At 54.0% G+C, this 12,920-nt stretch overlaps 1 pseudogene, besides 2 other annotated features; it reads left to right on the top strand.

The window, feature by feature from the left end:
• Positions 1-1,522: 1,522 nt before the first annotated feature.
• Positions 1,523-1,605, top strand: LOC124905163 (uncharacterized; annotated as a pseudogene).
• Positions 10,475-11,276: an enhancer, noted in NCBI's record as "H3K4me1 hESC enhancer chr22:20424400-20425201 (GRCh37/hg19 assembly coordinates)". NCBI's record gives its function as "activates a minimal SCP1, AML or CMV promoter by ChIP-STARR-seq in naive H9 embryonic stem cells {active_cell/tissue: H9 hESC(naive)}" and the evidence as "EXISTENCE:reporter gene assay evidence [ECO:0000049][PMID:30033119]".
• Positions 12,080-12,881: an enhancer, noted in NCBI's record as "H3K4me1 hESC enhancer chr22:20422795-20423596 (GRCh37/hg19 assembly coordinates)". NCBI's record gives its function as "activates a minimal SCP1, AML or CMV promoter by ChIP-STARR-seq in primed H9 embryonic stem cells {active_cell/tissue: H9 hESC(primed)}" and the evidence as "EXISTENCE:reporter gene assay evidence [ECO:0000049][PMID:30033119]".

The raw sequence follows: 12,920 nt of genomic DNA, 5'->3' as shown, positions 1-12,920 counted from the left end.
ACTGCAGGCTCCGCCTCCTGGGGTTCACGCCATTCTCCTGCCTCAGCCTCCCGAGTAGCTGGGACTACAGGCGCCCGCCACCGCGCCCGGCTAATTTTTTGTATTTTTAGTAGAGACGGGGTTTCACCGTGTTAGCCAGGATGGTCTTGATCTCCTGACCTCGTGATCCGCCCGCCTCGGCCTCCCAAAGGGCTGGGATTACAGGCGTGAGCCACCGCGCCCGGCCGGGACATACTTATATTAAGCATTATTGGTTGTTTATCCGAAATTCAAATTTGGGCATACTGTTAAATGCTAAATCTAGCTGTCATAGTAAGAAGCTGAAATTTACTGTTTGGGGGTATTTTGTATATTTGTTTTCTTTCTGTTTTTTATTGAAAACAGATAATGGTAAAATAACAGACCCTTCCTACATGACACAACAATCATAGTCACTGTACCAGGGCTCACCAGAGCCTGAGTTCCGTGCTCTGCCTGCTCAACCTCATGTCATTCAAGCCTCCCAAGGGGGTGGTGCCCTGATTCCCAAATGGATGAGGAAAGCAGATCATAGTGGTTAGATCTTGGACTAGACACACAGAGAATCCGGAGGGAGTGAGGACACAAAATGAACCCATTTCTGGCGGGTCTTCCCATCCCTGCTAATCTGTAGTTTTTATATTTCCATATTACCTTCCGCCCAGATCTAGCTTTACTGGGTTGCTGCCAGGGAGAACAAATTTTTGAAATCTGCTATTTTATTTATATTAATTAATTAATTAATTAATTAATTAATTACTTTAAGACGAGGTCTCGCTCTGTTGTCCAGCCTGGGGTGCAGTGGCATGATCTCAACTCACTGCAACGTCTGCCTCCCTAGTTCAAGTGATTCTCCCACCTCAGACTCCCGAGTAGCTGGGATTATCCGTATGTGACACCATGCCTGGCTAATATTTTAGTAGAGACAGGGTTTCTTCATGATCACCAGGCTGGTCTCAAACTCCTGGCCTCAAGTGATCCACCTGCCTCGGCCTCCCAAAGTGCTGGGATTAGAGGTGTGAGCCACTGTGCCCAGCCTAAAAATATTTTTTAATAGCACCACAGTGTAGGCTGGGTGCGGTGGCTCACACCTGTAATCCCAGCATTTAGGGAGGCTGAGGCGGGTGGATCACTTGAGGTCAGGAGTTCAAGACCAGCCTGGCCAACATGGTGAAACCCCGTCTCTACGAAAAATACAAAAATTAGCCAGGCATGGTGGCAGATACCTGTAATCCCAGCTACTTAGGAGGCCGAGGCAGGAGAATTGCTTGAACCCGGGAGGTGGAGGTTGCAGTGAGCAAAGATTGTGCCATTGCGCTCTAGCCTGGGTGACAGGAGCAAGACTCCATCTCAAAAAAAAAAAAAAAAAAAAAGAACAAAGAAAAAAGAAAACAAAAAGCACCACACTGTAAATAAACTGAACAACCATGGTTAACGAAGTGTGAATAAATTACAGAAGCTCCATACTCTGGAACATTTGTCAGCTCTTAAAGAATGAATTATGATCCTTTTGTAGTTCATAAGCATGATGATTATGTGTTCACACACGTTCCCATGTAAGATGTGCCACCTTCAAATATTTTTTTTTTTTTTTTTAAGAGGGAGTCTTGCTCCGTCACCCAGGCTGGAGTGCAGTGGCGCGATCTTGGCTCACTGCAAGCTCCGCCTCCCGGGTTCATGCCATTCTCCTGCCTCAGCCTCCTGAGTAGCTGGGACTACAGGCACCCGCCACCACGCCCGGCTAATTTTTTTGTATTTTCAGTAGAGATGGGGTTTCGCTGTGTTAGCCAGGATGGTCTCAATCTCCTGAACTCGTGATCCGCCCGCCTTGGCCTCCCAAAGTGCTGCGATTACAGGCGTGAGCCACCGCGCCCGGCCGCCACCTTCAAATCTTGTTACGACATAGGCACATTACCCGTCTGACATGAAAAAAAAAAAAAAGAATGAATTATGGAAATGAACTAGAAAAATGTCTATGATTTCAAAATAGTAGGATCTTTTTTGTAAGGTGAGTAGATACATATTGATGTCAGAGAAGAGAGTTAAACTGTTAATGTTACTTCAGAAAGGACTGATTAGGGTGGAGGAGGAGGGAGAATTTAACTTTAAAAAATTGCTGGGCATGGGCTGGGCACGGTGGCCCACGCCGGTAATCCCAGCACTTTGGGAGGCCGAGGTGGGCAGATCACGAGGTCAATAGATCGAGACAACCCTGGCAACATGGTGAAACCCCATCTCTACTAAAACTACAAAAATTAGCTTGGTGTGGCGGTGCTCACTTGTAATCCCAGCTACTTGGGAGGCCGAGGCAGGAGAATCGCTTGAACCCGGGAGTCGGAGGTTGCAATGAACGGAGATCGCGCCTCTGCACTCCAGCCTGGGTGACAGCGCGAGACTCCATCTGCACAAAAAAAAAAAAAAAATTACCGGGCATGGTGTCTCATGCTTGTAATCCCAGCACTTTGGGAGGCTGAGGTGGGAGAATTGCTTGAGTCTGGGAGTTTGAGTTCAGCCTGGGAAGCATAGTGAGACCCTGTCTCTACAGAAAATAAAAAATTAGCCGGGTGTGGTGGTGCATGCCTGTAGTCCCAGCTGGGAGAATCACTTGAGCCTAGGAAGTGGAGGCTGCAGTGGGCCATAATCACGCCACTGTGCTCCAGCCTGGGCAACAGAGCTAGACTCTGTCTCAAAAATAAATAATAAAATAAAAATAAAATGTGCTTCAGCATCTCTAGAATTGTTCCGATTAGAAATGTTACTTTCATAAAATAAAAATAACACACACGCTAAAGTATACATGTGTAGAAAAAAAATTCCCAACTTCCAGAGAGAACCTCCGTAAATATTTTTGATTTATTTTCTTCAGTTGCTTTTCCATATATCAATATTTTTGCATGCATTTAAAAAATGCAATTAAAAAAAAATTTTTTTTTGAGGCGGAATCTCGCTCTGTCGCCCAGGCTGGAGTGCAGTGGCGTAATCTTGGCTCACTGCAAGCTCCGCCTCCCAGGTTTTCACGCCATTCTCCTGCCTCAGCCTCCTGAGTAGCTGGGACTACAGGCATCTGCCACCAGGCCCGGCTAATTTTTTTGTACAAAAAATACAATTTTTTTTAAGACAGGGTCTAGCTCTGTTGACCAGGCTGGAGTGTGCAGTGGTGTGATTTTGGTTCACTGAAACGTCCACCTCCTGGGTTCAAGTGATCCTCCTGCCTCAGTCCCCCGAGTAGCTGGGACTACAGGGGTGTGCCACCATGCCTGGCTAATATTTTTGTGTGTATTTTTAGTAGAGATGGGGTTTCACCATGTTGGCCAGGCTGGTATCGAACTCCTGACCTCAAGTGATCCTCCTGCCTCAGTCTTCCAAAGTGCTGGGATTACAGGCGTGAGCCACTGCACCTGGCCTCTTCTTTTTTTTTTTTTTTTAAATTATTTTTGGCTGGGCGCAGTGGCTCACGCCTGTAATCCCAGCACTTTGGGAGGCCAACGCGGGTAGATCATGAGGTCAAGAGGTCCAGACCAGCCTTGCCAAGATGGTGAAACCCCGTCTGTACTAGAAATACAAAAATTAGCTGGGTGTGGTGGTGGGCGCCTGTAATCCCAGCTACTCAGGAGGCTGAGGCAGAGAATTGCTTGAACCTGGGAGGCAGAGGTTGCAGCAAGCTGAGATGATGCCACTGCACTCCAGCCTGGATGACAGAGTGAGACTCTGTCTCAATAAATAAATAAATAAAAATTTTATTTTTTAATTAAAAATTTACTTTATTATTATTATTATTATTATTATTGGAGACGGAGTTTCACTCTTGTCACCCAGGCTGGAGTGCAATGGCAGGATCTCAGCTCACTGCAACCTCCGCCTCTGGAGCTCAAGCAATTCTCCTGCCTCAGCCTCCCAAGTAGCTGGGATTACAGGCATACGTCACCATGCCTGGCTAATCTTGTATTTTTAGTAGAGACGGGCTTTTACCATGTTGGCCAGGCTGGTCTCAAACTTCTGACCTTGGGTGATCTACCCGCCTCGGCCTCCCAAAGTGCTGGGATTACAGGAGTGAGCCACCGTGCCCATCCTACTAATTTAATTTATTTATTTATTAATTTATTTATTTTCTGAGACCGAGTCTCACTCTGTCGCCCAGACTGGAGTGCAGTGGTGTGATCTGGGCTCACTGCAACCTCCGCCTCCTGAGTTCAAGCGATTCTCTGCCTCAGCCTCCCGAATAGCTGGGATTACAGGTGCCCGTCACCATGCCTGGCTAATTTTTGTATTTTTAGTAGAGACGGGGTTTCACCATCTTGGCCAGGCTGGTGTTGAACTCCTCACCTCGTGATCCACCTGCCTGGGCCTCCCAAAGTGCTGGGATTACAGGCGTGAGCCACCGCGCCTGGCCTATTTATTTTTTTAAAATGGAGTCCCACTCTGTCGCCCAGGCTGGAGTGCAGTGGCACCACCTCGGCTCACTGCAACCTCTGCCTCCCAGGTTCAAGCAACTCTCGTGCTGCGCCTCAGCCTGCTGAGTGGCTGGGACTACAGGCATGTGACACCATGCTTGGCTAATTTTTTTTTTGAGACGGAGTTTCACTTTTGTTGCCCAGGCTGGAGTGCAATGGTGCGATCTCAGCTCACCGCAATCTCCGCCTCCCGGGTTCAAGCAAGTCTCCTACCTCAGCCTCCCGAGTAGCTGGGATTACAGGCATGCGCAATCACGCCCAGCTAACTTTTCGTATTTTTAGTAGGGACGGGGTTTCACCATAATGGTCAGGCTGGTCTCGAACTCCCGACCTCAGGTGATCTGCCCGCCTCGGCCTCCCAAAGTGTTGGGATTACAGGCATGAGCCACTACTCCTGGCCTAATCTACATTCCATTATGTGGACTATTTAACCCCATTGTGAGAAATTTGTATATGCTTTTTTCTTTTTTTTTTTTGATACGGAGTCTTGCTCTGTTGCCCAGGCTGGAGTGCAATGGCAGGATCTCAGCTCACTGCAACCTCCGCCTCTGGAGTTCAAGCAATTCTCCTGCCTCAGCCTCCCAAGTAGCTGGGATTACAGGCATACGCCACCATGCCCAGCTAATTTTGTATTTTCAGTAGAAACGGGGTTTTACCATGTTGGCCAGGCTGGTCTCAAACTCCTGACCTCAGGTGATCCTCCCGCCTCAGCCTCCCAAAGTGCTGGGATTACAGGCGTGAGCCACCGCCTGTATATGCTTTCTTTCACTATTATACATGACACTTAAAAAATATTATCATATATTAGTTATCTTTTTTGTTGTTTTTTGAGACCGAGTCTCCCTCTGTTGCCCAGGCTGGAGTGTCATGGCATGATCTCAGCTCACTGCAACCTCAGCCTCCCAGATTCAAGCAATTCTCCTGTCTCAGCCTCCCGAGTAATTGGGACTACAGGCATGCACCGCGATATCCGGCTAATTTTTGTATTTTTAGTAGAGACGGGGTTTCACCATGTTGGCCAGGGTGGTCTCAAAGTCCTGACCTCAGGCGATCTGCCGGCCTTGGCCTCCCAAAGTGTTGGGATTACAGGCATGAGCCAGCCACATTAGTTTTCAAATGCAGATGAAACAAGGGACCGTGGAATGCCTGTTGTCTCAGGTGTGCTCCTAGGCATGGGTTCCAAACTTACAGGTACAAACTTACTTATGGGTAGAGAGACAGATAATAAGTACGTGGTCTGCAAACGTGGCTAATTTCCCCAGAACAGAATCCTGGAATACTGGTCTGAGAGGGTATAATTATTTTAAAATATTTTTGGGGCCAGGTGCGTTGGCTTATGCCTGTAATCCCAGCACTTTGGAAGGCAGGAGGATCACTTGATCCCAGGAGTTTGAGGCTACACTCCAGCCTGGGCAACAGAGTGAGACTCCGAGTCTCCAAAAAACAAAAAAAGACAAAAGAACCCCAAAAAAACAACTTTTGGCTCATACCGCCAAACTCATGTCCAGGAATTTTGAGGTGATTTATGTGCTTCCAAAAGTATATGAGAGTGATTACCTATCAGACCTTGTGTTTGAAGGTTATCACTTGAAACTGATTTTTAATTTGTTTAGGAGAAAACCCAGCTTCTTATAGTTTTATTTTATTTATTTATTTATTTTTTTGAGACGGAGTCTCGCTGTCGCGCAGGTTGGAGTGCAGTGGCACGATCTCGGCTCACTGCAGGCTCCGCCCCCCGGGGTTCACGCCATTCTCCTGCCTCAGCCTCCCGAGTAGCTGGGACTACAAGCGCCCGCCACCTCGCCTGGCTAATTTTTTGTATTTTTAGTACAGACGGGGTGTCACCGTGTTAGCCAGGATGGTCTCGATCTCCTGACCTCGTGATCCGCCCGCCTTGGCCTCCCAAAGTGCTGGGATTACAGGCGTGAGCCACCGCGCCCGGCCTATAGTTTTAATTTATATGTCTTGGGTTAGTAGAATGGTTGACTTTTTTTTTCAGTCGTTCCTTCAAATAGTGAGTCCTCTGCTAGGCTCTATTTGTGGAATATTCTTGTTCTTCTTCAGGGATGTTTGATAGCTCTTTTTTTTCCACAGATGTTTGATATTTCCTTTTTCATCTATTGTGTTCTTACCATTTCTAGGATGTTTCTAGGCTTTCTATTCTATTTCCTGTTCTGTACCACACTGAAATGCCTGCGGTAGCTTTACAATTTGTTTTGATATCTGTTAGGGCAAGTCTACCCTCATGCCTGCTTTTGTTCCCAAGGGGGGAAAACCATAGCTGTTTTCGGCTATTTATTTTTCCAGGTGAACTTAGAATTTTGTGAAGTCTAAGAAATGTTGTTAGGATGACATTAAACCTATACATCCATTAGGAAAGAAAGGTTGCATCATCAGCTTGGCGAAGGGTTATTGAAACTGGTTTTTGATCTTGACTGGAGCTGGGGCACAACTTCCCTGTAAGGCAGACCTGGGCTCCTCTTGGACTTGGGCGACCTCGATAGCGGTGTGTTCCTTTGTTTGGTGTTCAAAGTAGAGAGAGGTCCATTAACTAGCTCCCTAGAGAAGCAGTGGCGGCTCAGGCCAGCCCAGCCCCTGGGAAGGCTATCTGCATGGCGGCCGGGAGCCCGGGTCCTGGTGGGCCGGCTCGGGCAGGCGCTTGACCCCTGGGGCCTGCGAGGGGCTGCGGCCACCGGAAGGGGCTGGCTGAGCGCAGCGTGCTGGGTCCTCCGCGCCCTCGGAGCAGGTAGGGTTCGCGGGGGTGCGCCCGCGGGGGCCCGAGGGGCGCTGGGGTCACGGGAGGGGCGCCCCTTCTCTTTTGCACCCAACCAGCCCGGGCTTCCCCAGGAGCCCAGACCCCCGAGCTTGCAGTCACTGCTGGCTGCGCCTTTGAGCCTCGGGCAACCGCAGGGAGCGTCGAGCAGGGGTCGCAAAGGGGTCGGGGAGGGGGCGCGTAGGCCGATAGAGGTCCCTAATTCGGGGCTCCTAGGGGTCAGGGTAGGGCTAAAAGGGGGTAAGTCCACCAGAGTTTGAGGGGGTGGGCGTCAGCCTGTCGGGGGGGGCCAGGGTCCCTGTCCCGGGGGCCGGTATGCGGTTCGGGTATTTCAGGGGCGAGGTCGCGGTCCTGCCCTGGCGCTTGAGGTCGGAGTCCGGTTAGATGTCCGGGGTCTGGGTCCCCGTCTCCTCCCGCGCACCCCTTCCCCACGGCGCCGGACCCCGGCAGCCCGCCCGCCTAGTGCTGGGACCGCTGTCCGGCCCGGCCCCGCCCCCGAGGCCCCGCCCCTGTTCACAGGCCACGCCCCCAGCTGCCCCCTGTCCCCGCCCCGCCGCTCGCCCATTCAGATGTGGGTCAGGGGTGAGCGGGCGGCGCCGACGTCACAAGCTTCCAAGATGGCGCTGGGCGGGCGGCTGTGAGCGGCGCTCGGGGCGCGCTAGGCGGGGAGCCGAGCCGGGCTGGCGGCAGGCGGACGGGGCGGGCGCGTGCGGCGCGAGCCGGGCGCTGAGGACAAGGGCCGCTGGTAGGGCCGGCCGGCCGGCGGGCGGAGCGCCGCCGCCGACGCACACGAGGTGAGGGGCGGCCTTGGGGGGCGGGGGTCGCGGGGAGCGGGCGGGGGCCGGGGCCGCGGGCTGGGCGCGTCCCCGGGGAGAGGGGCGTGGACGCGCGCGCGCCCGGGCGACGTGGGACTGCGCGCGTGGGGGACGCGCTAGCGTCTGGCGGGCCTGGGCTGGGGCGCACGCGGGACCCCTGGCAGGCCCGGGCTTTGTGGGCCAGATGCCCGGAGGGGCGCGGGCGGTGGGGCACCCGGGGCACAAAGCCCACCGGGCCGCGCCAGGCCCAGGCGGCGCGGGTCTGCGGAGCGGGGGTCGGCGGGCGAGCGGGCGCCGGCTCTTTGTGCCTTTTCATTAGCAATCTAATCCGAACAGCGTCGGGCGAGCTGCGCTGCCTGACAGGCGGGAGGGCTCCCATTATGCAAACGGCCCTGCGCCCGCGGCCGCCCCCTCGCTAGAGGATTTTGCGATTTCCAGGACTGCGGTCCTGCACCGTCTGCGGTCTCCTCTCCTCTTGCCTCCTCCCCGCGGGAAGACTGGCCACGGCAGGGGCAGGGGCGGGCCTGGAGGGGCCGCTCCCAGAGGGCCGGGCTCTGCGGCTGGTGGGCTCGCTGCCCTGCCCCCAGACCTCTCCTGTAGGCAGCCGCTTGGCAGGAAGAGAGATGGGCTTGGGGGAGGGGGTCGGCTTTCAGGGGGAAGGGACCGGCTGGCTGAGGGAGGGGGCTGAGGGGCCCCAGCTTGTCACTCTCTGTTTATCTTCCAAGATGGTTCATATTCACACAGGCCTGGGTGTGTGCGTGGTTGGGGGGGGGGGGGAATGCCTCTCCCTGGGGGGCAGTGACTTGCTGAGAGGAGGGAATGAGGCCAGATAATGCTCCCAACGGCCCCACCCAGAACTGCCTGGGACTGCCTGTGTAAGGGAGCCCAGTGCTGAGCCGGATGGGTTGGAGCGGTGTTAAAGTTATTTATCCATGTCTTCTCCTGTCCCCCGCACCCCTAGTCTTTTCTAGTAGGAGTTGCCAAGCACATCTGGAAAGCTGTGTTCCCCGACCCCCCACTCCCCCAACAGCAGGAGGGGTGTAACCCAGGGAAGCCACCCCTCTGACATATGTGCTGGGGGGAGGGGCAGAGCCTTGCCCCTAGGAATCCTGTGGCGGTGGGTTGTTGACTGATGTGGGATTGCTGTGTCTCTTGTGCTGTCGGAGAGCTGGCAGGTAGTGGAGGGGCCTTGGGAGCTCCTAGGCTGAACTTGGGGCTGTCCTCCAAGGATCCAGGATGGAGGGATGGAGCTGGGTCACTCAAACCTAAGGCCTTTCTGGGTCTAGCATTTATTGCTTCCTGGCTTCTGGCTTGGCTTCTTTTCGTCCATTCTCATCTGCCAGTGTCTGGACTCCCTGGGCCTTCAGGCAGGCATTTTCAGGAGCACAGGCCATGTGGTTGGTCTGGAGCCCTGTGTCAAGGAGAGTGTGCGTGCTTGGTGGAGCAGGGTTGCTGGAGTAGTGTGAAAAAAAGCAGATGAGCTGGCCTCTGGAGACAAAGCTGTGTGGCAAGACTGCTGGTTTAGTGGGCTCTGAACACCAAGAACAGGGCCGGGAGTCTGATACTTGGGGGCTGAACTGAGTCCTGTGGCCCAGGATTGTTGCCTGGAAGTGAACGTTCCGTCTTGTGCCATTGAGACTGTGAAGATCTCTGGGTCCCACAGGACGAGCAGTAGACTTGGAAGGCTGGGAAGAGGCTCCCCAGCTGCCTGCCTTGGGAGGTCAGAGCTCTCAGGTGGGTCGGCAGGCCAGTGTCGGGCTGGGGGAGGGAGGTTGTAGTAGAGTGCCTGTGGCCCAGCTTCTCTGGTCAGTTGGCTCTGAGTGCTGCTGTGTGCCCAGCAACCTCTCCCTGCGGTGTTTTTCTGCCAGTTGTTGGAACTTGTAGATTAGTCACTGAGTTTTTACGACCGATTCCTGAAAAGAAAAATCTCCCTCTGGTTGCTGCCTCTGTGTAGAGGAAGAAGCAGCCCGAGGGAGTCAGGCCTTTAATTAAAGCAAAACCGAAATGATTGTCGAAGTTGCTGGAAGGAGAAGAGAAGGCGCAGGTGGGGCAGGGGTGATGAGTCCTGTTGTGCTGCATGATACCTGCTCTGGGGACAGGTAGGCACGATCCCATCCTCGATCCTTGGTCTTGGCCAGCAGCCCAGCCTTCTCCACAAGCTGCAGTCGCGGATTAATCCTCACGTAGTGTTTTCTTTCCGTAGATCAGATTTCTCATTTTGTTAATAAGCGCAGCCTCCCATCCACTTGAAGTCAGCTGTTGTGGACGAGGAGCAACAGGGTTTTGCATTATTGAGCTGATAGCCTGCCGCCTCCCCTCAAGTCCTTATTGTTTGCGGGGTCAGATCTGAGGGGTGGGGAAGTGCCATTTAATCAGCAGCCAGCCCCTGGAGAAGAGCTGGCGGGGCAGTTCTGGAGAGTGAGAGCCGTGAGGAAGGAATAAAGTTCAGTTTACCCAGGGGACTTGTGGTTCCAACCTTATTGCTTGGTCTGTTGGCCTGGAGCAGTCAGCCCCACCCCATACCTTGTCCTGCCCGCTGCCCCCAGTACCTGATCCCTGGGAGAGTGGGGCACTTCTTCTGGGCTGCTCTTGCTGGCCTGGGAGGCAGCTTTCACCGCGGGAAGAAAGAACACATTGGGTTCCTCCCTTCTTGTCTCCTCCGAGCCTGGCCTAGGACGGACCCCTGTGGGGCAGTGAGAGGGGAACTGGACTTGGTCGGTCGCAAAGTCTGTAGTGCATTGCTGGCTCTGCCATTTACTCCCGTCATGACCTTGAGCAGTGATTGACTCTCCTGCCTCGTTTCTACAATGGGAACAGAACTGGAGTTTACATTCATGTATCGCTGTTTTCTGGAGCTCAGCCTAGGGAAGGCAGACACTCAACAAATGATTATAAGATGGGGTGATAAGGGCTGGCATCTAGCGGAGCGCAGAGGGCATAGCGGTGGCGTGGGAGGAGCCGGCCGTGGGCTGGCTGAGAACCCTGGATGCCATGTGGGTTGGGGTTGGCCTGGAGGGGAGGGGTTTTAACCAGGAAGTGACTGCTACTGGGTTTTAAAAGGCAGTGGTAGGGTAGAGGGTGGCAGTGGAGACAGCTGGAGAGCACTGAGGACGCGGACCCACGGGTACTGTGTGAGCTGTGAAGCCCGCTTGGGAGACCCCACTGCCAGCCAGGCATGTATGCGGCTCTTTTTCAAGCTTTTTATTCATTCCGCCACATTTTCTGAGCGCAAAGTCAGTGCCTGGCCCCCTTGGTTTAGACCAAGTCATGTTGGCCCCTGCTTTCTGGTGCTCACAGACTTGCCTGGGCGGGGTGATAGAGGCGCTTGCAGTTCAGCACGCGGCCCGTTCTCCTCTGGAGGAGGGAAGGAGCTGCTTTTGGAAGTTAAGTAGCTTGCTGGGGGCTGGAGGGTAAATGCCTTTGACTCCACCGCCTGTGGAGGCCCATATAGTGTGGTGTCTGGAGAGATCTGAGATCGCACTAGGGAGGATGGGGCTGAAAGCCCCCTCCCTAAGAGAGGTCCTGGCTCCCATTTAGGGGCTTCTGAACCAGCCCTTCCAGTTTGACTCTGCCTGGCACCGCCAGGGTTCGCTTCCTGCTGGGAGGGGCCTTGCCCTAAGGGTTAGGGACCTGGGCTGGGGGAGGGCTCTGAGGAGGGGCTGGGCCCCGAGGGACTGAGGGACTGCAGGCTTGCTTGCCTTGAGCCCAGTTTTAGCTGGGAGTGGCAAAGCGAGAAAAGCTGGTGGGGATGGGAGCTCTGTGTGGGCCCCCAGTGAGCTTGATAAGGGAGGAGAGGCTGGGAGCTGGTTCCAGCCCGCCAAAGTTCAGGAGGGAAGGGCCAGACTGCCTGAGAGGGGTGTGGCGGGACTGAGTGGGGAGAGGGACTCCAAGAAACTGCTTGGGACCCTCGGGAAGGTGGCCAGGCTTTGGGGAGCCCCTCCTTCTAACTATTCAATTTATTTTTTATGGTAATGTTAGTGGGTGGAGAGTGGGAGTGCAGCCTCGGTGTTAGAACAGGGGGACTTGGGGGTCCTTCTAATGGTGAGAGGGAACAGGGATGGGTCAGCTAGGTGCTCTTACCTAGAGGCACCGGTTTTTTGTGAGGTGGGCAGCGCATCGTAGGATCTTAGGTGCATGTTTTCTGTTTAAGGGTGATCACACATGGGGTGTGGTGAGGAGGGAGTATGTGGAGTCCCCAGCCTTCCTGTGGCAGTTCCCAGTGTGACTAAAAGAAGGCAGGGATTGGGTTTGGTTAGGTGGGTGCTTCCAGGTGAGAGTTGGCCTGCTGTGGAAATGGAAGAGCTCCTGGCTCTGGCAGGGGTGTGGCTGCTGTACAGACTTGTCCCCTGCCGTCCCGGGCTGTTGCCCTGCGGCTTGGGCTTCGGCTTCATTCCACCGGGTGGGTGGGTTCTCTGACAAGTGTGGGAAGGGGCCGCTCCCATTACCACACTGAGGCCTGAGCCCCTTTGAGGGGGAGGATCTGTTGCATGGCCTTTGCAAGCCCTCACCCCTGCTGCGGGTCGGGCGGTGAGGCCGCAGCACTCGGAAGACGGTAAACTGTTGGTGAGCTCTCATTCACAAAGTAAGTGAGAAGGGAGAGTGGGGACTGGGACTTCGGTGGCCTGTCCTTGTGTGGACACAGTGGGGCTCTTCTGGGTGATGAGTGCAGGCCGCACATTCACCCAGCACACGTTGCCCATGCTGCCTGGCAGAGGCCTGCCTGCTGGTGCTCTGGTTCTCACCTTGAGCTATACCTGTCTCTGGGGTGGGCCCAAGGCACTAGCTTTTCCTGAAGCTTTTGAAGTGAACCTGATGTGCAGCCAAGTTTGAGAACCGCTCTTCTAGCAGGTGATGCATCTTTGT

This window comes from Homo sapiens, chromosome 22 (assembly GCF_000001405.40).
Source record: "Homo sapiens chromosome 22, GRCh38.p14 Primary Assembly".
In the NCBI taxonomy this organism is placed as follows: domain Eukaryota; kingdom Metazoa; phylum Chordata; class Mammalia; order Primates; family Hominidae; genus Homo; species Homo sapiens.
This window is presented reverse-complemented; position numbering and strand designations above follow the sequence as displayed.